This window comes from Homo sapiens, chromosome 10 (genome assembly GCF_000001405.40).
Source record: "Homo sapiens chromosome 10, GRCh38.p14 Primary Assembly".
Classification (NCBI taxonomy): Eukaryota; Metazoa; Chordata; class Mammalia; order Primates; family Hominidae; genus Homo; species Homo sapiens.
In genome coordinates this window covers 119,650,372-119,678,121 of record NC_000010.11, presented here as the reverse complement: position 1 = coordinate 119,678,121, position 27,750 = coordinate 119,650,372, and the positions used below count along the sequence as shown (strand labels likewise).

General features: G+C 49.8%; 1 protein-coding gene across 2 annotated transcripts, besides 5 other annotated features; it reads right to left on the bottom strand.

Annotated features, from left to right (window-relative positions):
* BAG3 (BAG cochaperone 3) lies at nucleotides 303-26,742 on the bottom strand. 2 transcript variants are annotated; one of them, NM_004281.4, is made up of 4 exons: nucleotides 26,267-26,742; nucleotides 7,945-8,271; nucleotides 5,466-5,867; nucleotides 303-1,658 (listed from the first exon to the last, which is right to left on the bottom strand). In NM_004281.4, exons 1-4 carry the CDS (start codon nucleotides 26,444-26,446, stop codon nucleotides 840-842), a joined length of 1,728 nt encoding a protein of 575 aa, NP_004272.2. In that variant the 5' UTR covers nucleotides 26,447-26,742; the 3' UTR covers nucleotides 303-839. The 2 variants fall into 2 exon arrangements, with proteins under 2 accessions (NP_004272.2, XP_005270344.1); XM_005270287.2 differs by having other exon boundaries at nucleotides 303-1,655.
* Nucleotides 9,580-9,761: a silencer, noted in NCBI's record as "fragment chr10:121427873-121428054 (GRCh37/hg19 assembly coordinates)". NCBI's record gives its function as "represses an EF-1alpha promoter that drives an FKBP-Casp9 reporter gene in an ReSE screen in K562 erythroleukemia cells {active_cell/tissue: K562}" and the evidence as "EXISTENCE:reporter gene assay evidence [ECO:0000049][PMID:32094911]".
* Nucleotides 11,840-12,393: an enhancer, noted in NCBI's record as "H3K27ac-H3K4me1 hESC enhancer chr10:121425241-121425794 (GRCh37/hg19 assembly coordinates)". NCBI's record gives its function as "activates a minimal SCP1, AML or CMV promoter by ChIP-STARR-seq in naive H9 embryonic stem cells {active_cell/tissue: H9 hESC(naive)}" and the evidence as "EXISTENCE:reporter gene assay evidence [ECO:0000049][PMID:30033119]".
* Nucleotides 26,650-27,604: an enhancer, noted in NCBI's record as "H3K27ac hESC enhancer chr10:121410030-121410984 (GRCh37/hg19 assembly coordinates)". NCBI's record gives its function as "activates a minimal SCP1, AML or CMV promoter by ChIP-STARR-seq in naive H9 embryonic stem cells {active_cell/tissue: H9 hESC(naive)}" and the evidence as "EXISTENCE:reporter gene assay evidence [ECO:0000049][PMID:30033119]".
* Nucleotides 26,690-26,989: a silencer, noted in NCBI's record as "silent region_2880". NCBI's record gives its function as "represses an Ori minimal core promoter by ATAC-STARR-seq in GM12878 lymphoblastoid cells {active_cell/tissue: GM12878}" and the evidence as "EXISTENCE:reporter gene assay evidence [ECO:0000049][PMID:35858748]".
* Nucleotides 27,190-27,269: an enhancer, noted in NCBI's record as "active region_4128". NCBI's record gives its function as "activates an Ori minimal core promoter by ATAC-STARR-seq in GM12878 lymphoblastoid cells {active_cell/tissue: GM12878}" and the evidence as "EXISTENCE:reporter gene assay evidence [ECO:0000049][PMID:35858748]".

Genomic DNA, 27,750 nt, shown 5'->3' with positions numbered 1-27,750 from the left:
AGGACAGGTGGGCAGACATGCTACCTAACTGGCACCTTGGCTGTTGGCTGGGTCGGTCCGAACGGATGCAGCAGGCATGTTCCCATTACCGGAGTTCACAGCCCTGAGTCTTCCCAGGTTCCTGTTGCAATCTGAGACTGAAAGGTGACCAAGACAATTCTCTCTTGAGCCGGGCTATTGGAGACGTCACAAAACCCAAAGCAGGCTTGTTAAATGCACCTGTCATTTATTCTGACTGAAACCAGGGACAGACAATCTCCATGATGCCACTGCTTTCAAAGATTTAGAAACCACAAAAACCATTTTGAGTTATATTATTACTTTATTTTCTTTTTTTAAAATGTAGCATTAAAGTCATCCAACATACAGATATTCCTATGGCTCCTGGCACATTTTACTCTCTCTAAAGTCAGGTATTTTAATTATGAGATGAAGAAAATCATCTCATTAAAATGGCAACATTTCTGATAAATGTTTCATATTTATGTGATGGGTAATTGACTCCCCATCTACCCCTCCAGTCCAGAGCTACAAAAGACAGTGCACAACCACAGCTAACAGGTGGTGGGGGTGCCCAAGTAGACAGGGCTGCAGAACAACAAGCAACGGGGTTAAACTTCTCAAACAACAAGCAACTTCTTTATTTGTACAGAGTAAGAATATAGAAGAAAAGCATCATTTTCCTTTTTAGCCCTTTTATTAGTGTTTTGCCTCCACCCAAGTTACTGCATACCAAGCAGCTAATAAAAACCAACTGACTTAAAGTCTCTGAAATGCATGCAACTTAAAATTCCCTAAAGCACACATCGGTTCCGAGTCTGATTTTTACAGGGCAGAGGCTACGGTGCTGCTGGGTTACCAGGGGTGTCTGTCATGCTGCTGGGGTTTGAAGTCGCTGCTGCTGTGGCTTCTGGCTGCTGGGTTTCTGTGTGGGGATCTTCTGCATTTCCAGCATTTTTCTTGCCCTTGTCTGCTGCCACGGCACCCATCTCCATGATTGCCTGCAGTGGCTGATCTGCTTCAAGGTTGCTGGGCTGGAGTTCATAGACCTGGACTTGACCTGGGACATCAATGGCTTTCTGTTCAAGTTTTTCCAAGATGGTCTGAACCTTCCTGACACCGTCTCTCCTGGCCTGACGCACATCGGCTCGTCCCTCGGGGTCCACTGAATCCAGGGCCAGCAGCTCTTTGGTCAAATACTCTTCGATCATCAGGTACTTTTTGTCAGTCTTCTTGCCTTCAAAGTTGTCTACAGCCTGCTCCAGCCCCTGTACCTTCTCCAGGATGGCTTCCACTTTCAGCACTCCTGGATGTTTTGGGGGAGCCTCGGCTTCTCCTGGTTTTGGAGGTGTAGCTTCTGCAGGGGCAGTGCTGGGGGCTGCCCTCTCTTCTGTAGCCACACTCTTGGGGGAAGAGGGGACAGCAGAAGGGCCAGGGCTGGGAGGAGGACAAGGAACTGGAGCAGGGGGAACTTTCACCTCTACCTTCTCAGAGGGAGGTGGGGGCTTCTGGGAAACAGGTTTAGAATCCACCTCTTTGCGGATCACTTGAATTGGGATGTGTCCAGGAGGGAGTTCTGGTCCAACTGGGCCTGGCTTACTTTCTGGTTTGTTTTCAGGCTGGGAAACAGGTGCAGTTTCTCGATGGGTCATGGGCTGCTGAAAAAAGGACACAAAAATATATTTTTAATAACTGACTGAAAGTCACAGAAATTGTTTGTAGCTAGTACAGATTAGAAAGAAAACTGAGAAATGGCTTTTTAAAAAAAGTTTAATAGTATAAAAGATTTTCAAAGTCAATCAATGGCTGTTACAAAATAAAAACATGGTATTAATCATGTATGTAACCCAATCATTAGTCAGGCTTCCATTGATCACCCCAGGCTATTTGTCTATTACCTCTCACTGAATTTCTCTGTAGATGGTATTCTTAATGGCAATGAAAAGAAACCCAATAAAATTTTCAAAAATGAAAATAGCTAACCTGGGCAATATAGTAAGACCCCAACCCTACAAAAAATCTTTAAAAATTAGCCAGGTGTGGGAGCTTGCACTCGTAGTCCCAGCTACTCAGAAGGCTGAGGCGGAAGAATCGCTTGAGCCCAGGAATTCAAGGCTGTAGTGAGCCACGATTATGTCATTGCACTCCAGCCTGAGTGACAGAGCGAGATCCTGTCTCAAAGAAGGAAGGGAGGGAGGGAGGAAGGAAGGAAGGAAGGGGGGAAGGAAGGAAGGAAGGAAGGGGAGAAGGGGGCAAGGGGGAAGGGGGCAGGAAGGAAGGAGGGAAGGGGGAAGGGGGAAGGAAGCAGGGAAGGGGGGAAGGGGAAGGGGGGAAGGGAGGGGGAGGGAAGGAGGGAAGGAAGGAAGGAAAGAAGGAAAAAAATAGCAAAAACTCATGCTGACTGCTGAACTAGGCTGACTCAGAGCAGAGTCCTGAGTGACTCCAGCTCTCAGGTGTTGCAGCCTTGGAGTCGCTGCCTCTGGTCCTTCTTCCTTACACTGTGCAGACAGTCTGCTCACGGTGTGATCTTCTTGTCTCCTGTTTTAGAAAAGATACGATCTTCTTTTTTTAAAACCGTGACAGCCTAGTAGTTTCTGCCCAGACCAATGTATTTTTTTAGGATTAGCCAAGATGCTCTAAATGGTTAACTCCAGAACAATTTTGCTTCAGGATAGCTGTGCTGTAGCCTAACATTCAGCAATGACACAGCGCCTCTGTGCTAACCTCTGGCTGCACAGGTTTTCCTGTGACTATAAACTACAGCCATATAGATATATAGATTTTTGTGGGGGACAGGGTCTCACTCTGTTGCCCAGGCTGGAGTGCAGCGGGGCTATCACAGCTCAATGCAGCCTCAACCTTCTGGCCTCAAGTGATCCTCTCACCTTAGCTTCATGATTAGTTGCAACTACAGGCACATACCATCATGCCTGGCTAATTTTTCTATTTTTTTGTAGAGACAGGGTTTCACCATGCTGCCCAGGCTGGTCTTGAATTTCTAAGCTCAAGCAATCTGCCCACCTCGGCCTCCCAAAGTGCTAGGATTATAGGTGTGAGCCACCACGCCTAGTAAGCCATATATTTTTTAATGAGCTATGCTCAAAGCAAAAATATCTTGACGCTTTTTGTTTTTGTTTTTGTTTTTGAGACGGAGCCTCGCTCTGTCACCCAGGCTGGAGTGTGCAGTGGTGTGATCTCAGTTCACTGCAACCTCTGCCTCCCAAGTTCAAGCAATCCTCCCACCCCAGCCTCCCGAGTAGCTGGGATTACAGGCGCCCACCAACATGCCTGGTTAACTTTTTTTTTTGTATTTTTAGTAGAGATGGGGTTTCACCATGTTGGCCAGGCTAGTCTTGAACTCCTGACCTTAAGTGATACCCCCGCCTCGGCCTCCCAAAGTGCTAGGATTACAGGATTACAGGCGTGAGCCACTGCGCTTGGCCTTATCTTGGCTCTTATTCATGTAAGTGAATATCTAACACTTCTTTTAAAATCTCACCCTAATTTCATCAACTGGGAAATAACTGGACTATATTATTTCTAAACTATTCCCAGCTTAAAACACTCAATTCCACTATAACGTTCAGTTTGGTGAAATCCTGGAAAGCCTCCCAAAAGGGAACTTTGAATCAGCTCTAAAAGGGAGGTCACCACAAACACGGTTAATGGTAAGAACAGGATGAAATATCATTTCACTGATGATGAGAAACACATGGGAATGATGTGGAGAAAATATCCCTCTCTCTACAAATGGGACCCTCCTAGGATTGCTGAACCCAAGTATGGATCGATGTAGCTGTCTACACTCCAGCAACCTCCTTTTCCATCAAATCTCTTTCGCCAATGCAGACATTCGCAACTTTGGCCCTTACCACTCACAACCCAACCACGCACCCCTCCTAGGTTCTAACAGCAATGGCTGTGTAAGAAGTGACTTTAGAAACACTTTAGAGAGGGTGTTCCACAGCCTGTGTTCTTCAAAACCGTCAAGGCCGTGAAAGCAAAGAAAGGCTGAGGGAAGACTGAAGAGAAGTTGCATCTAAATGCGGTGCTCATGATCCTTGTTTCAGTCCTGGAAGACATCCTGGAAGTGGGGGCAAACTGCTATAAAAAAGATTCAAAAATGTACTGGATAATAATGTTGTAAGAATGTGAAATTTCCTGAATCTGGTAAGTCTACCATGGTTATGAACGAGAATGTCTTCCTCTTAGGAAAATATTTGCTATTCAGGGGAAAAGGGACATGATGTCTGCAATTAATTTTCAAACAGTTAAAACACATCAATAATATACGAGAGAAGAAATGACAAGGCGAATGCAGACATATTGACAAACAGTGAACTGGATGAAGTATATGTGGGGCTCTGTATGATTCACACAACTCTTCTATGAGATTGAAATTATTTCCAAATAAAACAACATTTTAAGATGAGGGTGCTCTATTCCAGGGCCCTGGCCAGTGTGACCATTTGTAATGAAAGAATATCCCACATTTGTTCACGGGGGGCTTTCCTTTTTAAAAACTGTAGCATTCAGCTGCTCAAGTTGCAGCCACAGGGGGCCCAGGGCTGCTGACTGTCCTGCTGCTAAGCTGTGAGCTGCTTAAACTAAATGACATCCTCTTCCAGGAACCTGCACCTTGTGTCTCCACTGGAAGATAACCAGACCCCTGCCTACAACCTTCCCCAGGCCAGCACGGCTTCCAATCCGCCATAGCTGGCTGATGCCTCAGCCAGACCACATGGTACCTGATTACAAAGGGAGGAGGGGGGTTAAGACATGGGCCCTGTGGTCAGGCTCAGCCCTAAGCTGAAGAGATAAAATGAACACTTCTGAAATGCCCCGAATAATGACATGTTGAACTCATACAAGTTGGGAGTTCTCATTAAGGGACTCATATGAGGCATCATGAGATGAGAAGGATGAGTAGGCTTCATGGAGGAGACAAGACTGGCTCGTCCCTCAGAGGACAGGGAGAACCTATACTGTGCGGGCATTTCAGGGAGCGGGTTCAGCATGGGCAAAGGCACAGGGGTGGGAATGAGCAGAATGGGCCTGCAGAGTGGAGTGGGTAACTGAGTGGAAGGTGACACACTGCCTACACCCAAGGTGAGGCTGTGGCTGCGGTGTGGATGGGGGTGTGAAGAGCCCTGAAAGGGTGTGGTGGACACTAAGGAAGCTGGTCCCAGGTATGTAAGTTCTGCCAAGCTGTTTCGTCTGCTCTAAGTCAGCCGCAATGCACAATGATCAGCCCAGCAAAAGCTGCAGAGTGCGGAGGGTTCACAGCCTGAGCAACTGTCCTGCATTTCTGTTAATACCTAGCAATTTCTCGAATCTCACTTGCCTGTAGGTACACGCATGTTAAATAGGCAGGGATGAAGGGGGAACCCAGGGCACCCACAGAGCTCCTGCACCCCTGGAGACATACCACCATAACCAGTCTGCTGACGACTAACTTCCCGTACCTGAGGCCTGTCGACCACGGTGTGCACACGGATGGGCGAGGGGGAGTGGAGTGGCGTGCTGCTCCTGGCTGGTGAGCCCTCCCGGCTCGATGCACCCTGGACAGATGACCTGAACGGGGATGCCGCCCGCAGGGGCCGGGGCTCCCAGTCATCCCCCTGGATCTTGTGGTACACAGGCTGGTGGGTCTGGTACTCCCCCTGCTGCGCTGGGTAGTGCGTCTTCTGGGCTTGGTGGAAGGAGGGCTGGGCTGCTGGCCGGGTAACGTTCTGCTCGTGTATCACCGGAATGGAGATGTACCCCCGCGGGAGCTGGTGACTGCCCAGGCTGCTCCTGCCGGAGGAAGGCAGGCTGGCCGAGGAGGATGAGGATGAGCAGTCAGAGGCAGCTGGAGACTGGGACCGCTGCAAGAGACACAGGGTAGAGGGCATGACCCCACAAATGACTCCCCTGGCTTGGCATCCTGACCACGCCTTCTGCTGTGCACCTCCTCAGGGCAATCCATATTGTAAGACCTCCTATCTGTAATTTTCAATTTTCAAAATGTGCGGTTAAGACTGAGAGCTCTGGGGCTGGGCGCGGTGGCTCACACCTGTAATCCCAGCACTTTGGGAGGCCTAGGTGAGTGGACCACCTGAGGTCAGGAGTTCAAGAGCAGCCTGGCCAACATGGTGAAACCCCATCTCTACCAAAAATACAAAAATTAGCTGGGTGTGGCGGCGCATGCCTGTAGTGCCAGCTACTCAGGAGGCTGAGGCAGGGGAATTGCTTGAACCTAGGAGGCAGAGGTTGCAGTGATTTGAGATCACACCACTGCACTCCAGTCTGGGCAACAGAGAGAGACTCCACCTCAAACAAAGCAAAACAAAACAAAACAAAACAAAACACACACACACACAACAAAGACTGAAGGCTTTGGAATCAAGGGGCCTATGTTCAAATTCCTAGTAATTCAATCATTTTCTAAGCTTCATTTGAAATATAGGAAGAGTGCCCCTCCCTCACTGGGCTGCTCTGAAGATGAGGTCAGTCACCTGGGCATGTGCCTCAGCCCCAGGCCAGCACACAGGAAGCGCTCATACAAGGGATGTGTTGTCCCCACTACCCTTTCTCTGCCAATCTACAGAGAACTCGGCTGAGCAACTGGGAGCTGCCAGCATCCCGTGTGGCCCAAGGCAGGTCAAGCACCTTTCCCTGCTGGGCCACCTTCTATTCACCTCGAAATTGAGAGCATTTCCTCTTCTAAGTGCTTTGTTAGCCTAAATTTGTGAAGATGTCTCGCATTTATGTGTCACTTTGATTTCTTGCAGCAAAACCATTATAAATATAGGCATTACTTATTTTTTTATTTTTGAGACAGTCTCGCTCTATCACCTAGGCTGGAGTGCAGTGGTGCGATCTCGGCTCACTGCAACCTCTGCCTCCTGGGTTTAAGCAATTCTCCTGCCTCAGCCTCCTGAGTAGCTGGGATTACAGGAATGTGCCACCATGCCCGGCTAATTTTTGTATTTTTTGTAGAGACGGGGTTTCACCGTGTTAGCCAGGCTGGTCTTGAATTCCTGGCCTCAAGTGATCCACCTGCCTCAGCCAGGTACTACCTCTCTAAGAAAAGAAAAAAGGTATCCCACATTAACTGTAACTTTCACTCTCAAGCAGGTGTGAAGCTGAACAGATTCAGACGGAGCTGAGAGGCAAGCATGACTCAGGGTGCAGATAGGACACGGGAGTTTGTGCCCAGGAACAACGCTGGCACACACCACAGGATGATGTGCAGACAGGAAAATGAGAGGACTTACTGCTTAGGAATCCTACTAGGAATGCCTCAAATCTCAGCTAAGAACCAGATTAAGAACTATTTTTTAGCTATTAATGCACAGAATCCATTGACATATCCCTGAGATGTTTGGCTTCAGGATTAAAATGCTGTCTTAAAGCAGCTGCCTTCCTGACTCCTTATTTCTTTTGAAACTGTGGTGCACGGTGAGGGCAGGCATGGGGTCTCATTTTCCTGTCAACATAGCTCCACAAGCGGTTAAGATTTATCCATAAGCATTGAACTGAACAAAATAATGCACAGCTATCTCTGTGCTTCTGAATAGAAAGCCCAGTGTGAATAAGGAGCATGGAAATTAGGCGCCAGAAGGCAGGCCAGGCTTCCGGTCCCAGCTCTGCTCCCTCCACCTGTGTGCATCTGGAGCAGGCAGGCTGCAGTGTGCCCTTCCGAGCCGTTCCTTAGCTACAAAAAGAAGCCACATGATTCCTGCCCTGCCCCACTGAAGAACAGCCCTATGAGATGCTGGGGGATGATGTGGGGCCATCACCCTGTCTTTGCTGGGTGACCTCTGATGCTGCAGGCTAGACCCAGATGCCCTGCATGTGAACAGGTGCCTGGCCCAGGGCACTGTCCTGAGGGGATGGGCCCGGCCTGGGAAGCACAGCGGCTTGCTCCCCAGCAGGCTGGTGAGCCTGGCCTCTCCTTACCTCAGGTCCGTGGGAGGCTGGGGGCTGGGCTGCCGCCGCCGCTGCCACCTGTCCACACTGTTTATCTGGCTGAGTGGTTTCTGGCATGCCCCGCAGAGGTGACTGGGACCTCTGAGGAGCCGCTGCTGCCGCCTCAGTTCGGAATCGCTGCATCCCAGGCTGGGGATAGACATGGAAAGGGTGCACCTGCCGGTTCTCAGCGCCTTCATGGAGCACAGGAATGGGAATGTAGCCTGGTCGGAGCTGGGGGTACACAGGGTGGCCTTCCCTAGCAGGCGGCAGCCTAGAGCCCTCCCGGGAAGGGCCATTGGCAGAGGATGGAGTCTCCTGAAATAAAAAGTGGAGAAACACAGGCTGGTTAGAAACTGGGAAGTGAACCCTCCTGGCAGAGGAAACACTGTGGCGCTTGGCATTGTGATCTTCCCGAGTGACTTGGGCCTCAAAGCGTCAGCCAGCTCCCAGCCCCTGTACCCTCCAAACCCCCCACCCCATAGAGGTTGCTATTTGGCCAACAGTTTAGGAATTAGGGGCATCAGGAGAAAGCCAAAAGTATCTGTTAAGCAAAGGAAAGGTCCCAATTCTCCAAACTGGTAAGACAGGTTTCTTTTCTGGGTGACTGAGGGAAGCGGTGAGTGTAGGAGAGCTGCCCATGCCCGCATTTTCAGAGACCCGGATCAGAAGATGAGCTCCAGGAGCAGGGGTCAGCTCCAACCTCTACATTACAGCAAGCGTCTCTGTTTCCAAAAAGGCCCTCACATTTCCCAGCAATATAGAGCTTGTACTGGGCCCAAACACAGGACACAGTTTGGGAATCTTTACAGAGAAGTGGGCTGGGGAGCGAGGGCTGCCTCCTCAGGAGTATTGTTAGAACAATTTGCAGGAAGGGGAAGGACAGGGATGCAGAGGCAGCATAGGGAGAGAGGGGCACCCAGGGTTAACTGTGTCGCCTAACGATGCCAACTGACAAAGATTCTCTGCTTGACCAAATCTTAGGCTTCCGAAGCATCTCCTAGGCCCATCTGTGCACTTCCTTGTAAAGTCAAGTTTTAGCAAAAGACACTGCTAAGTCAGTTTAGCCAGAAACCCCCTCCCCAGCCTCACTATCTGATCAGCTTCCACAGCCTCCAGGTGCTGTCTAATCACCCTGGCCTGTCTTCGGCAAGAATCCTGTTTGGTCAGCATAGCCAGAAACACCCTTAGCCCTGATGTTTCCTCTTCTAATTTTCCATCCACACTGCTCCTTGACTATAAATTCCCAATCGCCCGTGTTGTATTTGAAGTTGTGCCCAGTCTCTACCCATGACTGCACGACCCCACTGCCGTGGTCCCTGTGCCTATCTTGATGGCCCCGAATAAATCTTCCTGACTGTGCTTTAACAAGTATCACTGAAGAACTTTTTCTTCAACGCAACAGAGCCTGCTTGGGCAAGGAGCAGTTGGGGTCCTTCTCTTATGTCCTCTCTTGAAGTTCTCCCTTCAGTGGCCTGGCTATTTTGGGACCCTTGAGAAGGCCAAGTTCCAGATGTACCACAGGAAAGATCTTATTTCAGACAACAAGGCTGGCCAGTCACTCACTGGGCAATGCCATCTCTCAGCAAGCTGGGCTGCGCAACAGAAGTCCTAACAGTCCCCGAGCACCGAGGGTCCTTTCCCAGGAGGGGAGCTACTGATAAGTGTCATTTGCATATATCTGTGTAAGGCAACTCTTAAGAAGGGGAGTGATCTTTCCTGACGAAGGCAGCTGTCTGCACGGCGAACAAACGCCAAAGGCTAACAATCTATGAGCTTGCAGGGGACAATCTCTACTGCTGCGGAATCAATCAAAAGTAAGGACAGATACTGAGGGCTGCTCTGCACTTTGAGAGAACAGACCATTAATTCTGTGATGTTTCTATTTGTGTGCAGGCGTGGGCACCAGGTGGCTGACCCTGGTTTAGCCCTTTCAGGCCCATCAACTGCCTCCCTCCTGCTGAGACCCTGCCCTTGGAGGGCCTCCAGCACACAGGAAAGGCATGGGTGTCACTGTGTCCTTGGGGACATGGGCAGACAGGCATTCTCAGATTAGAACAGCCACGTGCTCAGGGCGGCGGCATTACATTAGCCTGCTTAACTCTCAGGTCACCCAAGAGCAGGAGCAGGTCCAGGCCTCACATTCAGAGCTGAATTCCTGCCGTGAGATGGCCCTGACAGGGAGCCAGCAAGAGGCGCTGAAGAAACCCTCTGCTACTCAGTGTTGAGTCATAACGTGCCTGTGGGCATTCTGTCCACTCACTGAGGTCCTCCTCCTTCCAGCCGAAATCGGAGCCTGCATTAGTCCTGCAGTGTCATTTTTGCTGGCTGCCCAGGGGCTCATTGTTTCTTCCCAGCCACGCACAAAAGCCTCAACCATCTGCACACTCCACACAGCAGGGACCAGCAGTGAGCAAACCCTCATCCACCACCTGGGGGAACATCCTGCCACCCGCTGAGGAGTCCTATGGGGTTACCAAACCAGCAAGGGGCACTCCCTGCCAACAGGGGCTTAGAAGATGGGCTAAGGGGGCAGGAAACAAACAAGAAGCAGAATTACTTGGAAAGCACGGAGGCCCTGAGGGATGGGGAAAGGCACAGGCTCTTCCAGGGTAGACGCTGCCCTAGGTAGGGTCTAAGTGTGATTCGTACCTCTATTTCTAACAGTTCTGTGAGCTTGGGTAATTCTCTTACCTCTGTAAGCCTTCGCTTCCTTTTCTAGAAAACGGAGCTAGCCAACACCTGCCCTGGAGAAATGTTGTGAGGTTTTATAAGGGCATATCAAGAGGGATGCCCGGAAGACTGGCAATAAATGTGAGTTTCTCCCTAAATACGCACAAAATTATGCTTTTCAGACTCCAAAGTGTCAAAGGAATCAAAAGTGAAGGATAGGGCCAGGCACGGTGGCTCAAGCCTGTAATACCAGCACTTTGGGAGGCTAAGGCGGGCAGATCACCTGAGGTCAGGAGTTCAAGACCAGCCTAACCAACATGGTGAAACCCCATCTCTACTAAAAATACAAAGATTAGCTGGGCATGGTGGGGGGCACCTGTAGTCCCTGCTATTCAGGAGGCTGAGGCAGGAGAATCACCTGAACCCCGGAGGCAGAGGTGGCAGTGAGCTGAGATCATGCCACTGTACTCCAGCCTGGGCAATAGAGCAAGACTTTGTCTCAAAAAGAAGAAAAAAAAGAAAAAGTGAAGTACAAAGTGAATCGATGGTGCTAGAAACCAGAATGGTGGTCACTTCTGGAGGAGATGGTAGTGGCTGGGAAGGGTCTCGAAAGAGCTTTCTGAGGTGATGGGAATATTCTCTTTTTCTGGGCAGTGGTAAATGGGTGTATGGCTGTGTAAAACTCCATCAAACCCCCACACTGCCCACTCTGCCACATCCCACCCACACTCTCTGGTTTTAACTGGGAGAGCTGCTGATCCCAACCCCTTATAGCCAGACCCTTCCAGGGCTTGGAGTCCTCAGACAGGCCTTGAGGAGATGCAGCTCCTCCTGGGGGAAGCCCCTGGATCCAGAAAGCCCTTGAGCCAGCCACGAGCTGAGCACCTCATGCATCTCGCTGAGCACCTCGTGCATCTCGCTGAGCACCTCGTGCATCTCGCTGAGCACATTTTGTGCCTCCATTGAAAAAGAGAAGGGGAATAAGACAGGAGAGAGAGGGAGGAAGGAAAAACAACTCTGTCTGCACACAAGACTGTGACAGCAGAGACTGCTTGCTGGAGCCAATATTCAACCTTTCCAGAGACATGGCTTGGTCCACGGGGAAGGAATGTGGTCACTGCAGGCAGGGGCAGTGGTGTCAGAAGAGTGGTGGGAAGCAGTGGCAAGGGGCAGGCTTGGGGGTCAGTGCTGAGCTGAGGGAGATGAGGCTAGAGACCAGGGGCCAGGCTGGAAGTGGGGGCTGAGGTCCACCCTTCTGAGTGTTCCAACCATCACAGGAGATGCCTCAGCAAGACAGAGGGACTGGAAAGGAGAAGCCAGGACATGCTGGGAAGTGAAGAAGGACGTCAGGGAGGAGGAGATGAGCACAAAGCAGGGCAGAGGGCCTGGAGGGTAAAGGGCACCCAGAAAAATGAGAGGCATGTGGGGGGAAGGGGAAAGGTCTCCACCGTGCGTGAGGTCCACTGAACAGGCCAAGCCTGCCGGCACAGCTGGAAAGCAGAGACGGTCAGGACAGGCAAGGGCGGCCTGGCTGCTTCTCCAACAGTCCCGAGGTCTGTATTCCTGGGCTTGGGTGAATTAATGACCCATTTTTGCCATTTAATAAAAAACCAAGTGTCTCCTTGTGAGCACTGCATCTAAAAGACGTTCCAGGCTCCCCTTCTACTCTGGTGGGGTTTTGTTTAAAAAAAAACAACAACAACAAAAAATTGCTTTAAATAAAAAAAACATGAATTTCACAAAATAGGCAATTAAACACTTCTACATGAATGAATAATTCCAATGAAAAATGAAACTCCCACCCGTAATGAGGTCTATGCCAGGAATGCTGATGCCACATTCTAATGTTCCCATCCACTATCATTAGGGTCACAACAGCAAATGCTTCCGCTTTTACTAAGTAAAAAACACCACCTGGGCCAGGCGTGGTGGCTCACACCTGTCATCTCAGCACTTTGGGAGGCCGAGGCGGGTGGATCACCTGAGGTCAGGAGTTCAAGACCAGCCTGGCCAACGTGATGAAACCCCATCTTCACTAAAAAAAATACAAAAATTAGGCTGGGCGCGGTGGCTCACGCCTGTAATCCCAGCACTTTGGCAGGCTGAGGTGGGTGGATCACGAGGTCAGGAGATGGAGACCATCCTGGCTAACACGGTGAAACCCCATCTCTACTAAAAATACAAAAAAAAAATTAGCTGGGCATGGTGGCAGGCACCTGTAGTCCCAGCTACTCGGGAGGCTGAGGCAGGAGAATGGCGTGAACCCGGGAGGTGGAGCTTGCAGTGAGCCGAGATCGCACCACTGCACTCCAGCCTGGGCGACAGAGCAAGACTCCAACTAAAAAAAAAAATATATATATATATATATACACACACACACACACACACACACACACACACACAAACAAAAATTAGCTGTGTGTGGTGGCGGGTGCCTGTAATCCCAGCTACTCGGGAGGCTGAGGCAGGAGAATCGCTTGAAGCTGGAGGCGGAGGTTGCAGTGAGCTAAGATCACACCATTGCACTCTAGCCTGGGCTACAAGAGTGAAACTCTGCCAAAAAAACTCTCACACACACACAAAAAACACCACCTGGAAGAGTTAAATTGCCCTTTCTCTCTTCTATGGTGTTTTCAACACAATCTAGCAAAGAGAGATATTTTGTAAATAAAAGAATCAAAAGAAAAAATGTGTAATATTTATAATTCTAGAATCTGACTAAAACATGTCTCTTCAGTCTACTAAGTGTTTTCAAGTTCAAGCACATCCAGATAATGCCTCTTGGTTACACCAGCATCTCTCAGATAAGGCTTACTATGTGCCCCTTCCTGATTCAAGCGGGAGCTCGGAATCTGCCTCCTCAAAGTTGGGGGGACAGCTCTGTGTGATCATGGGACAGGGACTGGGATGCAACCACGGTGACCAAGCAGATGACTGCTGATCCTCATGGCCACCTCATCAGGGCCCGCCTGCAGCTCAGAGCTCATTATCCTTATCTCGGCTAAAGACATCAGGAACACATATTATACAAAATCCAATTAGGAAAGAAGAGCCCAGGGGCTCAGTCCTGACTCTCACTGCTTATCTCACTATATTAATTTATAAAATGAATTGGCTAATTCTGCCCCCTTGTTTGTGCATTGCATTAAAAATCTGAAAAATCTGAGGCATGTCTCAGGGCACCAAACAACTCCATGAGATGGCCAAGATAGAAAGCAGGAAAAAAATGACCCCAGATGAGTCAAAATTTGCCCTATTATGTACAAGATATTATGATTAGAGAAAGCCTGAGGTCAGGTTCTGAGCTTTGGTGAGCTGTTGGGCTCGTTTGCTTAAGAGCAGGTCTAAACTGCACTAGTGGTTTTTAGCAGCAACATGGGCGCTGAGGGAACAGCAGGAGAGCTCGGAAGAGGCTGCACTTGGTCCTAACGCTGGCTCTGCCCCTAAATACATGTGTTACGGAAGTGGCTCACATGCCCTCTGTGAACTTTCGTTTTCTCAGCTGCAAAATGAAGGGGAGGCCCAAAAATGTTCTAGAAAGCAGTGGTTCTCCAGCACTTGGGGTATCGAAGCACCCAGGAAATGCAAACATTGCAGACTCTTAAGCCCAACCCAAGTAGGTCTGATTCCGTAGGTGTGTGAGGAAGCCTAAAGGTCCGCAGTGAGAAAAACGATGATGGAAAGTTCCTTTCAGCTCTGACACTCTGCGTGGCCTGATTTCCAAAGTCCCTTCAAGCTCTCAACAGCTATACAAGCCCCCAAACAAGGAAAAGTTAATGTCACAGAAATCTAAAAACGACTACTCCTAACTACACTCAAATCATATCAGAACTGCCAGAACTCAGAGCACCCCAAAGTTTCATGTCCCAGATGAAGAGGAGGGCCCGGGTCCGGTGGTTCATGTCTGTAATCCCAGCACTTTGGGAGGCCGAGGCGGGTGGATCATCTGAGGTCAGATCCATTCCCAGGAGTTTGAGACCAGCCTGTCCAAAATGACAAAACCCTGTCTCTTCTAAAAATACAAAAATTAGCTGGCCGTGGCGGTGGGCATCATAATCCCAGCTGCTTAGGAAGTTGATGATGCACGAGAATCGCTTGAACCCAGGGGTGAGAGGTTGCAGTGAGCCAAGATTGCAGCACTGCACTCCAGCCTGGGCGACAGAGTGAGACTCTGTCTTAAAAAAACAACAACAAAAAAACAAAACCAAAAACAAATGAAGAGAAGGAAGCCTCTAACCCCCAACCCTGTGCCCTAAAAGCAGGGTGGGAACCACAACCCTTGGGCACCTGCAAGGTGTCTGCCTAGAGAGGCGTACGCCAGGCACATGTTCATGAAAGAGCCGTGGAGAAGAATCTACCTTGACCCACCCACAACTGACTCCCTGCACACTGAGTGGTCACTGAAACCCGAAAATGGGCACCTTCTGTGAGCCCCAATCTTGGCTCCATGGTACAGTGCTCTTTATTTTATTTTTATTTTTGAGACAGAGTCTCGCTCTGTCGCCTAGGCTGGAGTGCAGTGGCGCGATCTCGGCTCATTGCAACCTCCGCCTCCCGCGTTCACGCCACTCTCCTGCCTTAGCCTCCTGAGTAGCTGGGACTACAGGTGCCCGCCACCATGCCCAGCTAATTTGTGTGTGTTTTTAGTAGAGACGGGGTTTCACTATATTGGCCAGGATGGTCTCGATCTCCTGACCTCGTGATCTGCCCATCTCGGCCTCCCAAAGTGCTGAGATTACAGGCGTGAGCCACCACGCCTGGCCAGGTACAGTGCTCTTTAAAAAGTGGGCTCCACATCTACAAACCACAGCTTCCATCACTCTGGTCTGAACTAGGAGAAACAGTAACAAAGGCAACTCTTAGGGCTGTCTCGTAGCACTTCCGACTTGGCAGGCCTGGGGTATTAAGTAGGACACAGACTGTATTAACTGGGTTTTTAGGCCAGAAGAGCCTTCACATGGGTCAAGTGAACACTTCAAAACTTCTAAAACAAAGAAAAAAGATGCAAGAACACAGAAATCCTGGAACTCCCCATATGGCTAAGGCCTGGATCAAAATTAAGTGGCCTGGCTCGCCTCCATCAGGCAGGAAACAAACAAAACACACTTTCTTCCAAAGTGCAACTGGAACTGGGCGTGGTGGCTTACACCTGTAATCCCAAGACTTTGGGAGGCCGAGGCGGGCGGATCACTTGAGGTCAGGAGTTCAAGACCAGCTTGGCCAACATGGTGAAACCCTGTCTCTACTAAAAATACAAAAAAAAAAAAAACAAAAAAAAAACATAGCCAGGCATGGTGGCGGGGGCCTGCAATCCCAGGTACTCAGGAGGCTGAGGCAGGAGAATCGCTTGAACCCAGGAGGCAGAGGTTGCAGTGAGCTGAGATCATGCCATTGCACTCCAGCCTGGGCAAGAGAGTGAGGCTCTGAATTAAAACAACAACCAAAACAAAAAACAAAGTGCAACTGGAGTCGAGCTTCAGCACCCTACCGAAGCTCTCTGCTTGCTATGATGGGGTGCATGAATGAATTAAGTATTACTGCCCATTTGATACTGAAATACACAATAAACAGCCATTAACATCCCTACAGCCAAAGTCAAAATCCCTTCAGTCCCCACTGGATTGTAATACAGGGTCTCTCCCACTCCCCCAGCACTATTTTGGGCACATAATAGAGTTGGGGAAAATTCTGAATAATAAACTAAGTCCACATTCCACTTACAGGACACCTGAGGAGTTAGGCTTTGTCCAAAGACTCCTGGTAAGACAAGAGGTGTGTGCCAACCACATACTCTATAAACTATCATAAGTCACAGGCTACTGGAGGCTTTATCTAATATGCCTGTTACTAAAATATATATACATTTTATCCTGGAATAAACAGATGACTGTCCCTATGTGTTTTCAATGGGAAAAAAAATTTTTTTAGAAGATGAAACCAACATTGCTTCTCTTTGCAGCTGTGTCCAAATAAACAGGAATGAACCAGCATGAGCCCGGGTCTTCAAGGTGCCACCCTGGGTTCCAGTCCCTCCTTGATGCTCACCAGCTGTGTGACCATGGACAGGACTCCTTGCTACTGTTTCCGCAGCTGTAAAGATCCCCATATTTCCCAGGGGTTTTTGCAAGAGTTAAGTGAAATAAGGTACGAAATAAGGTACAAGTCTTTGTAAACTCTGAGCTGCTCTGTGCCCTAAACAATTGGGTTTCTTTTTCTTTCTTTCTTTCTTTTTTTTGGAGACTGAGTCTCGCTCTGTTGCCCAGGCTAGAGTGCAATGGCACAATCTCAGCTCACTGCAACCTCCGCCTCCCGAGTTCAAGCAATTCTCATGCCTCAGCCTCCCGAGTAGCTGGGATTACAGGCACCTGCCACCACGCCCAGCTAATTTTTGTTTTTGTTTTTGAGACGAAGATTCACTCTTATTGCCCAGACTGGAGTCCAAAGGCATGATCTCGGCTCACCACAACCTCTGCCTCCCGGGTTCAAGCGATTCTCCTGCCTCAGCCTCCTGAGTAGCTGGGATTACAGGCATGTGCCACCACACCCAGCTAATTTTGTATTTTTAGTAAAGATGGGGTTTCACCATGTTGGCCAGGATGGTCTCGAACTTCTGATCTCAAGTGATCTTCCTGCCTCAGCCTCCCAAAGTGCTGGGATGACAGCCGTGAGCCACCACGCCCAGCCACAATTGCATTTCTTTATTCCACAAATAGTTATTGATGGACTCAGCTTTTCTCCAGCACTAGCTGGTTGGGCTTACCGTTTACAAAGCCTAATTCTTTTTTTAAAAAAATATTTATTTATTTATTTATTTTAGAGACAAGGTCTCACTATGGGGCCCAGGCTGCTCTCGAACTCCCGGGCTCAAGTGATCCATCTGCCTCGGCCTCCCAAAGTGCTGGGATTACAGGTGTGAGCCACCGCGCCCTGTTCAACAAAGCCTAATTCTTTAGTCTGTCTCACCAAGTTGGTAGTAAGACAGTTAGAATTAGAAGCCCCTTTATCTGAGAGTCTTAAGAGGACTAATTAGCAAGGATGTCACTTTCTCTGCTTAAGACTTTATCTAAAGTTTCACAGCCTGGAAGCAAAGAGCCAAAGACAACTCTAGGGACCTGAGCCCTAAACGACCCACCTCTCCAACAGGCTGGGCCGCTGCTCTGGGGAAGAGGCCTGCTCTGCAGACAAACTCCTGGCTGAGCAGGGCGCCCAGCCGCACTGACTGTGGTTCCTTGACACATCTCCCTGAGGCCTAGAGAGAAAAGCCAGGCCAGGCTGGGGCACAGAAGGGTCCGCCTGGGAGCAGAACATCTGCTGGCGTCTCCTCAACATCCTCGATGGCCCCTCACCAGGGCACACGTCAGCCGTCTCCAGGCCAGGCACCATCCGCAGCTGCTGGTATTTCCCCTGCTGGGGGCACCTGAGTCAGCATCCAGCCTCCCTGCAGCCCCAGCCCTGCAGCCTGCCTCACGGGTTCCATGTGGCAGAGGTAGGAACTGGAATGTGGCCCAAGGTCACATGAAGTTAGCTTCAGGGCATGTTAGAACCTACCTACCTCTTCTTCAGGGGAAAAAAAAAAGAGCGGAGCCACCTGCTTTAATCAAGCCAAAGTCACAAATCACAGATGGAAACTATCTGAAATTTCCATCCCAGGAAGCAAACTCTGAATTTAGACAGAGTCAAGGAAAAGGACCTCTCTCAACTGCTACATTTCCATGCTAAATGGAATGGTCAGCCACCTGGCAAGTCCATCCTCCAGACACGACCCTACAAGTGCCTGTTAGGTCTCAGTGTACAGGACATCAGCGGACGTGTATTCTGTACAAAATACAATTTCCAAAAGAAAAACATCCTCAGTTCATCAGCTGCCATGCAGGCAAGGGGACCCTCTCTGATGGACGGTGAGACCCCTGAGTCCCGGGGGGGCTCTGCTCCCACCTGCAGTGGCTTCTCAAGCATTCGGTCCACAGCAGCCACACCCCCCAGAAGAGGGTGGTGGCACTTGGAAAACCCCTCCTTCCTTCCATCTGCGGTGACATTTACACCCCTGAGAGCTGGGTCCAGAAGAGCTGTGCAGGTAATCGGCCCCTCAGTAAGGTGGGCTGATGTCCCCCCTCACAGGCAGCGCTCCTAGCTCCTGCCTGGTACTTTGCGGCTGCACAGACACAGCTGAGGGAGACCCTCCCCTTGAGGAGCTGAGGCTGAGTAAAGCCAGCGCTCTACACAGCACAGTGGAGGACACAAGGACCCAGCCTATCTTGGGCAGAGGATGGGGAGATGCATCTATGGACGCATGGCGCAGGGTCTGGCAGCTGGGTCAAGGCTCCCGAAGGCCCCGCAGCTTCATCTGTTACTGTTCCTTTACATCCTCCACTCACAAGGGGCACGGGAAGCCCCAGGGAGGGCTCCAAGGGCCACCTGGACACTGGTCGGGGGAGTCAGCTACACTCCATACAAGGGGGATAAGAGGAGGCCTTGCTTCTAAGAAACAAGACCCCAGGCCTCTCTGAGAGCTGAAAGGCCCACGGACAGCCAGGACAGTCTGCTGTGTGGAGAGGCCACACACCTATCCACAAACACACTTCTACTCCACAGAGCAGGCTGCATATGTTTCCGGGAGTTCCACGCATGCATCAGTTCAGGCTTTGGGACGTTCGCCTCCCACACACCATCTTCCTTGATTCTCCCAACCCTGCTAACAGAAGTGTTGCTATGCCCACTTCACACAACGGGAGACTGAGGCTCAAGAAGGGTAAGTGCTTTGCCTAAGATCTCTAGAACCCAGGTTTGTCTGATGGTAAGGCCAGGTAGATGCTAACCTTTCTGCTACTCCTGTCACAGCTGTACACTGTGATAACATCCATGTGTCACTAACGTCTCCAAAACCTTCATCTCCCGGGGTAAAATGCAGCAGGAGAGGCAGCAGGAGAGAAAGGCTTCCATTTCGCCCAGCCACGCTCGGCTGAGGCTCAGACCTGGAACATTCAGTTCAAGTGTGCTCTGGGTCAGGGAGCCAGCGCTCCATGCTGAGTCATCAGGCCAGCCAGGCAGGGTACACGAGAGTGAGAGCACTCAGCTTAATTCTGAGTCACCACAGCCCCAAGACTGCAGGGACGCCCGGCATGGAGCGCTGTCAGAACCGGGGAAGACACCGTCCAACCCAGGAAGGAGTGCTAACCCCGCTGGGATGCTGGGGGTCTGAACTGACCCTGAAAGGGTGGGCCAGCGAAGGGGCTGGCTTTTCTTCTGCACATGAAGGGGCCTTCCCATCCTCCCACTGTATGAATTTTTAAACCATCCATTCATTTATTCATTCATTCAATGTCAAGGAAGAATTTTTTAAATAACTGAAAAAAATATATAATTCTACTTTAATAAACACTGAGGAAGATACTTTAAAACAGCAAACGTTTGTTCTCCAATTGAATGCTAAGGAATTTTCCGTAAAAAGTCTCCCCAGTTCACTGGGGCACAGCTCTGTGCTGGGAGCTCTTGGACAGCTGAGCTGTTTACAGGCTCCTGACGCACAGAGCTGGCACTCTGCGATTCTAGGCTTTTCTGAATTGACAGTGAATAAGAACCTTCACGTATACGGTGTCTGATCTTGCTGCCAGCCACACGAAAAAAAATTTTTAAGAGACTCTTTTCACAGTGCCAGGGGCTGCTCTCTGCACAGCTATGGAAGTAGGGTCTGGCTGCTGCCAGCTCCCAGCCTCTCCAGCCCTGCTGTAAGATGCTGTGTCATTGGGAGAAACAAAAAAGAGCTTCTCCAGACCTGTAAGGATGAACTTAGGGAATCAATACTGAAGTCCTTTGTGCAGAGAAGGCCATTCACAAAGTGACAAAAAGGAGCAGGCCTCTGGGGACCTTTAGGAGCCCAGGACAACTCTGCAGTTCTTAGGAACCAATGGAAGGCTTCCCGGGACACACCTGCATCCTTCACGGGCAGCTCTTCTGTATCTGCCTTCGCGCTCTGGGCAGGCCCATGTTCTACCCTTCTCCACAGTCACTCGTTCCATCTTTTCTGAGCCTGTGGACCCTGCCAGGCATCAAGAGGCAGCGATGAAGCACACAGACTCTGCCCCAGAACTCCTAACAGGGGTGTGACCCCAAGACAAAGCAGAAAAGTGCAGAGCTTAAGCAAAAAGATTCAAATTAAAATAATATGGGTTCCAGAAGAGAGACAGCCTGCTTCGGACCAGGGAGAGGCAGGACATGCTTTGTGGAGAACAGTCTCAAAGTGGGCAGACTTGTCCTCTATATGGCATTTAACACTGTGACTCGCACACTGTGGGCACTCAGTGAATTTCAGATGGGGTAAAGGAGTGAGTAAAGAGTCGGGCCCATCTCCTAAATCCAGACCCAGGTTCAAGAAACAGGCCAACATTTCTGATTAACTATACAAAGATGGACTCAGGGCTGTTTATCACCTCAAGCTGTGCCTGGGGAGTATAAAGCAGCCGTGCCTGGGGAGTATAAAGCAGCCAGGCCCGCTAAAGGCAAGTCTGTCTGTCACCCCTTCAGGAACTCAGATGGGGGTAAAGCCACAGAAGTCTTTCTGTTTATCACAGGCCAGGCACACTGCCTCTCCAAATCTGCTGTCCCATGTGTAAGACACTTCATAGTTTCTAGTTCAAAGAGCTGGTGAGGATTTAGAGATAAGGTTACCAAAAGCACCCACTCATATCTGGCACATATATATATATATGTGTGTGTGTTGACAGACAGAAAAATACTACATTCATTCCTCTCCCCCCAAATTCTTCCTAAGCTTTTGCAAGCTGCCTGGCTTCCTAAAAGGCTGCCAAGGTCCCAAAGATACCTTCATCGAAATACGTGACGACTTAGTAACACCAGATACCTCACATGGTATCACATGTGCCACATGATGCATACAGATGAATCCTGCACCTGCAAAACAAGGGGCTCTGGAGCCTGCCTCAGACGGCCGGCTGATGGGCATGGTGGCGCTCACCTATAATCCTAGCTACTTGGGAGGCTGAGGCAGGAGAATCGCTTGAACCCAGGAGACGGAGGTTGCAGTGAGCCAAGATCGCACTACGGCACCCCAGCCTGGGAGACAAAGTGCGACTCCGTCTCAAAAAAAAAAAAAAAAAAAAGAAGGCCAGCTGAGTCTATGCTCTGAGGCAGAAGCAGATCAGAGGTGTCTACTTGACTCACAACAAAAGGGAACCCAGGAGGGGCTGGAGAATAACACGGTCAAGTGTGACACAGGGTTCACTCGTGTTCGCCAGTGCCAGAGGGTCTCAAAGATCCTAATAAGCAAGGCCTTTGTCTTCAGTTTCTTCTGTAAGCTCTCTTAAACATTTAAGAGCAATATTAAAACAGCAAAACTTAAAGGAGAAAGAGTAGGTCTGGATGATGAATGGTTTTCTACTTTGGATGATAAACATCAGAACATCATTTTTAAATGTCAATAGAAAGTAATAAACATGTAGAGTGGTTTATATAAGGTGACTGTGTGTCATTCCAGAAACGAGGACAGCACTAAGCAAGCCTCATGGGTGGTATGAAGCTTTCTGACTCACAAGCAGCCCTGATAGCATCCAACAGTTAAGCCTTCCCAGCCCTGGCCAACGTCAAACGCTGCCGCAGGTCCTGTGTACAGGCTCCACCCTCATAAAGGGCAAATCTACCCTACAAAACGGGACAAATGATGTTCTCGGAGGTGCAGTCGGTTCTCATGTGAACAACACAGGCTGTTCTTCAGAGGGGAAAATGAAAGTCCTGGATGAGCTGGGCTCCAAGGCATCTGGCCATGCTGTTCATCTGCCCCCCAACAAATCACTTTCATGCAGTCGCACAGGAACTTGCTCAGCCACAACTGCAACTTGCTGGAAATACGAAGGAGAGAACGGCCACTCATTTCCTGATTGTGCTCCGCCTCTGCTAAGAGGCATAACAGCTTGCAATAGATCTGGAAAGAGCAAAACGATCTCATCTTTAAGAAAATTCAGGAGGCTCTGCTGAACCTTAAGCAAAATAAATGGGTCTCTCTACTTCAATCATAACTCGAAACATTTCCAGTGTTATCTGAAAGGATGTTTCTATCTCCCTGTCACAGTGCCTGAGTATAATCTGTTAAATGATTATGGTGAGATTCTGCCAGATGGGCAAGACAAAAAGAAAAGGCTCTGGCTTGCTTCTTCCTGGGGTCCAGGAAGATCTCTGGACCACCTCCCCACTCTCGCACTGCCAGCCACCCTGCCAGACTTTGCAAGGTGCTGTCTCGGCTCGCTTCCCATGTCATCCCCATATTCACACCTCCAGAAGCCCGCGTACCTGGGGAGTTTCCCCAAGAAGGAAAATGGAGGCTTGGGAAAATGCTCTGCAGGATAGATGTTCAGGAGGCACTAAGCCGCAGCTCCTCCTCCCCAAAATGGGATCACTGGCCATCCGTGGCTCCCACTGCCAGTGCAGCAGAATCAGAACCACCAAAAAAGCTTTCTGGACTTAATAGTTTTCTGGGCCCTACACTGAGCAATTCAGATTTGAACATGGGGTTGGGGCAGGGAGGCGATGAGACACAGCCACAATCTGTGTTCTTAACAGGACTCCCTGGAGAGTGCCAGACTGGTAACCCCCAAGATCCATGGAGCTAGAGCGGCCCTGCTCCATGAGGGAGGAAGGTCTCCCTCTCATCCCAAGGAGGCCTGGCGGGAACAGCACTCCAGAACATCCGGCCTCTGTTTATTCAGGGAGGAGCCTGGAGGAGTGGCTGCACCAGCACTGAATGCCATCCTCTGCCAGGAAAGGGCCTGGACTGGTATGAACTTGCCAAATTAGTGGGAAGCCCAAGTGTGCAGAAAATCAAAATCCAGGAAGACTGCAGGTGGGGAGGCCCAGCTGCTTAGAATGGGGCTGGATGAAGCCCAGCATCTTTGCCGGGAGCCGTCCTGCTTCAGCAATGACAGAAGATACTTGCTTTCGCTCTGCCCCTCTGTGAAAACAGGGAGTTGTCCTAACTACTTCAGGAGAAGGCGGAAGATCAACTGCAAGACGGCAGTAGAAGACGAAATAAAATACAAAGGTCTAGTCTTTTCTTTCCATTTTCTTACTAACGTGATTAAATTTTAAACATCCTGAAGCTGAGTCCTCCCCCAAAAGAGAGGTCGTCTCTTGAGCTCCTCATGCTCAATGAACAGCTTTTTACTGATTGACAGCATTTCCTCTTGAAGATGATGATGCTCAGACGGGCCTCAGCTCAGCTCCTCCAAAATCGCCCTTTGTTTTCTGCAAGGGCCTTTTTCTCATTATGCATTGAGAAGCCAATTTCAAATACAAAATGATATTCAAGGATTTTCCACTACATTTAGTCTCCAGTAAGGTGTAACTCACACAAGTGCAACCTGATATTGTGTGTGTCAAAGCACAGGATTGAAAGCAATGAAGCACAAACAGCTCATGGGCTGAATGTTAGTTTTCTCCTTAAGTTTTGGTGCCATGCTGACAAGTCTCAAGTCATTCACTTGGTAAAGGGAACTCTTTTCTTGAGTTCATCAGTCCCATCATCAAAATCCAAGCAACCTCAGCACAGAGGTCAGTGACCCAATAACTTGGTGGCCAGGAGGGCACAAAAATAATCAAGTATTCTAGCCTGCATGCCTCAGTTTCCCAAAACACTCACTTCCAACTTCTGAAGAGACACACTGCCTCTTATTAGGACTTTCCTGACACTAGTTCTCTCCCTGTTGTTGGTACTAGCTGGATGACCTTCAAAGTCACACCTGAACTCTCTGGGTTTCAGAAAATAAAGAAGCCTAACATAAGAGATCTTCAAGGACATTTCAACTTTAAAATTTTGACCGTGAAATTTTCAAATAAATCTTCCCAGCATCAGACTTCTGATTTAGTAGTTCTTTGTATTTGCTGACAAGAATAATGGTAACTAAACCTGCTTTTTTTCTTTTAATAAGGTTTATGAAATCACAGCCTAACCCATGCACCAGGTGGGTACAGGAAGATCTCAACTTGCTGGGTAAGTTTCATGCTGAGAACAAAGTGCTGGGAATGTTTATGTTCAAACTTGATCTTCACTCACAACAAAGGCTGCCAACAGATACCACTATCCCTATGTCTACAGGAAGAAGGCTTCAAAATAATAGTTGTAAACCACACTAAAGATCATGTACATCCACGCAGACTCCTAAGAAAGGTGGTTTGAAATGAGTGTCAGTTTCACCCAAAAATGGGTGGAACAGACACACAAAAAGGTATATGTAACTGTGCCCATCCCAGCTAATTACAGCCTCTTGTACTAATTTTCAAGAATAAATATACAACTAATCTCTCGTAAATGTAAACTGCTGCCTGTACACGGTCTCACTGCTGGGCACCGGAGTTTTATCAATATTGTTAAAACAAAAAGTGCATAAAGATGAAGGGAAATAATACAGGTCTTTCTTCTAAAACAATGGGTTACACAGCAGTTTTAATTTGGTGAGTTTTTAAATCTTCAAAATAATTTACCAGCTCTTTGCTGCTTTTATCTTGCCCAGACGGCGTTAACAATTCAGCTTTAAGTATAACATATTTATTTTAAAAACTTTTTATCCTGAAAGCTCAAATTTATAAAAAATTGAAAGAATAGTATAACTAACTCTGATTTTTGAAAATTAACACACTCATTCCAAATTTACATTTTCAAATTTCATGCTCTTGGGGATTAAGAAGTATATATCCTTGCATGTATGTAAATGAGACATACTTCTGCTGTATTCACAAGAGTATCATTAGTCAGTTATTTGTGTACTGGTAACAAATCCTAAGTATTTTAATACCATAACAAGGCAGGAAGCGAATGCCATTATAAATATACACGTATCATTCTCTTTCTCTCCAGTGTGAGGCAATGTGGTAAGGCAATGGCCAACTGTAAGACAGTCTCAGATCTCTAGTCTAGATCTCTAGAAACTGCTGGGGAGAAGCACACCCTGTTTTTTATTTTACAAATCATACTAGGATACGTTCATATTGAAAGCACTTTCAAACAATAATACAATTTTAATTTAAAATACACACACACACATATATATATGAATGTTTTGACACCAGCCTCCAGAGTCATTGGGTGCCTAACATGGGACAGTAGCCAAGATACCCCTCAACCAAGTTGGAGAACTTGAGCGGTAAAATTCCCCCCAAAACCACCATCCAAGCTTGCGAGTGTCCCCCTCGAGTCCGCGGTCAGCAGGGTGCGCCGCGGGTCCCGGGCCCGGAGGCCGAGCGGGCAGCAGGGGCCACGGTGGGCCGGGGCCTCCGGAGCTGACCAGGCCGGCCGCCCCTCTCCCAGCCCTAGAGCGCGAGGCCAGCGCTGGACACCCGGCCTTCCGCCCTGGAGTCGAGCCGTGGACGGCACCGGAGCCACTGCGGGGTCGCTTCCCGGGCCACCGAATCCCGGGGCCTCCTTTCGCCCCGACGCCTGTCAAGGGCGGGTCCGGAGCGGGGACTCGTCCGGGCGCAGCGGGAGTGTGTGGCGGGGCGCGGAGCCGGTGTCCGCCCGCGAGGGGCCTTCGCCGACCCCCGGGCCCCGCCGCCTCGCGTCCCCCCGGCCCAGCCCACTCCCCGCCGCCTGCCGTCGAGGTGGCGCCACCGACCAGGGCGGGCCGCGGGCCCGGCTCACCTTGGGGCCCTCAGAGGGCACGCGCGGGTCGTTCCACGTAGTGGTGCGGCTGTTGTGGTCCACGAAGAAGGGCCAGCCGGTCTGCGGGTCGATCTTGATCTCCCATCCGGGGGGCAAAGGGTCGCGGTCACCGTTGCCGGACGCCACCTGCATCATGGGCGAGTGGGTGGCGGCGCTCATGCTGGGTTGGGGTCTGCCCGCTGGGGCGCGGGTGCGGGGCGCTGGCTCCGGGCGCCGAGTCTCTGGCCGGGCCGCCGCCGTGGGCCCCTCTCCGCCGCCGACGTGTCCGGGAAGCCGGCGCCGGGCACCTTTATGAATTAAAGGCGGGGGTGACGTGGCCAGAGAGGGGTGGAAGTGTCTGGAAATAGCCTCCTCGCTGCCAGAGGGGAAGGAGGAGATAAAGGGAGGTAGCAACTGGCCGGCTAGAAACTTCTGGTCCAGTCCAGAGAAGTTGGCCGCGGCCCGGGGTTGGATGCGGAGCTCCGCCCTGAGTCATCGGCTATAATCGCGGCGGGCGGGGCAGAGGAGCGGGGGCGGGGCCTCGGCCCGCTCGCCCCTCCCCCACCTCCTCCCGCCCCTCCCCCTTCCGACTCGTGCGCGTGCCCGGGCCGGAGTCGCCGCGGGCGGGCGCGGGCGCGGCTTCGGGGTCCGCCTGCGGGTGGGAAGCCGGACGAGCTGGACTGGGGCCGTCCTCCGTGCGCCCCGGGCGGGTTTCGGCTTTCATAGTCGCTCTCTCCCTCTCCTTTGCGCCGAGTGAGTGTTCCCGGGGCCGGAGCCCGTGCTCCCCGTGCCTGCCGCCCGTCCTTCCTGTACAAACAAAACCATCTCGCCCACCTCCACCCCCTCCCCCATATATGATAGCCGAGGACCCTGAGGGCTGTCCGGGAGGAGCGCGGGGACTCTCATCTGACACCGGAAGGAAGCCAGGGAGAAAATGGAAGTCAGTGCAAACTCACCTGCCTTCCTTTGGAAACTTCAAGAAAAAAAGAGATTGTATCAACTGATGGCTTTTAGTCTCCTAGACTAAAAAGAAAGTTTCGTTGCAGCTTTAAAGATAAATCACATTTTCTTGGGTCTGGATCTTTTTTATGGTAGAGATTGGTTCTTGCTATCTTATATCTTGACCCTGATTTGGGAAGTAAAGACCGAATAACCATGACATTTTTTGTTTGGTTTATTCAATTGCACTTGTAACCTGTCAAAGGAGAAAATTACAACACATTTAAAGATCTTTTTTGTTGTTGTTGTTGTTGATTTTCATTTTTTAACTTTTATTGTTAAAGATCTTATTTGTGATTCTAGAAATTGGGCAACATCTCCATTAAATTAGAATAAGTGCTCCCATGAGCTGAGCAGAAGAGGTTGGTTTTATAGACAGAGAAGGGCTGAAGAAAGCAGAAACAAAGAACCAAGACTGGATTGGTTGTTTCAAAATTACTTTCCTTGTAAGGAGGGGACAGAGAGACAGAATCATAGAAAAATAA

Excerpts from the sequence above, each read along its gene's own strand:
- BAG3 (NM_004281.4), bottom strand. The coding sequence starts at position 26,446 with ATGAGCGCCGCCACCCACTCGCCCATGATGCAGGTGGCGTCCGGCAAC. Across the intron at positions 8,272-26,266 it reads TGCCCTCTGAGGGCCCCAAG|GAGACTCCATCCTCTGCCAA; the intron begins GTGAGCCGGGCC and ends TTTTTATTTCAG. Across the intron at positions 5,868-7,944 it reads CAGCCTCCCACGGACCTGAG|CGGTCCCAGTCTCCAGCTGC; the intron begins GTAAGGAGAGGC and ends TGTCTCTTGCAG.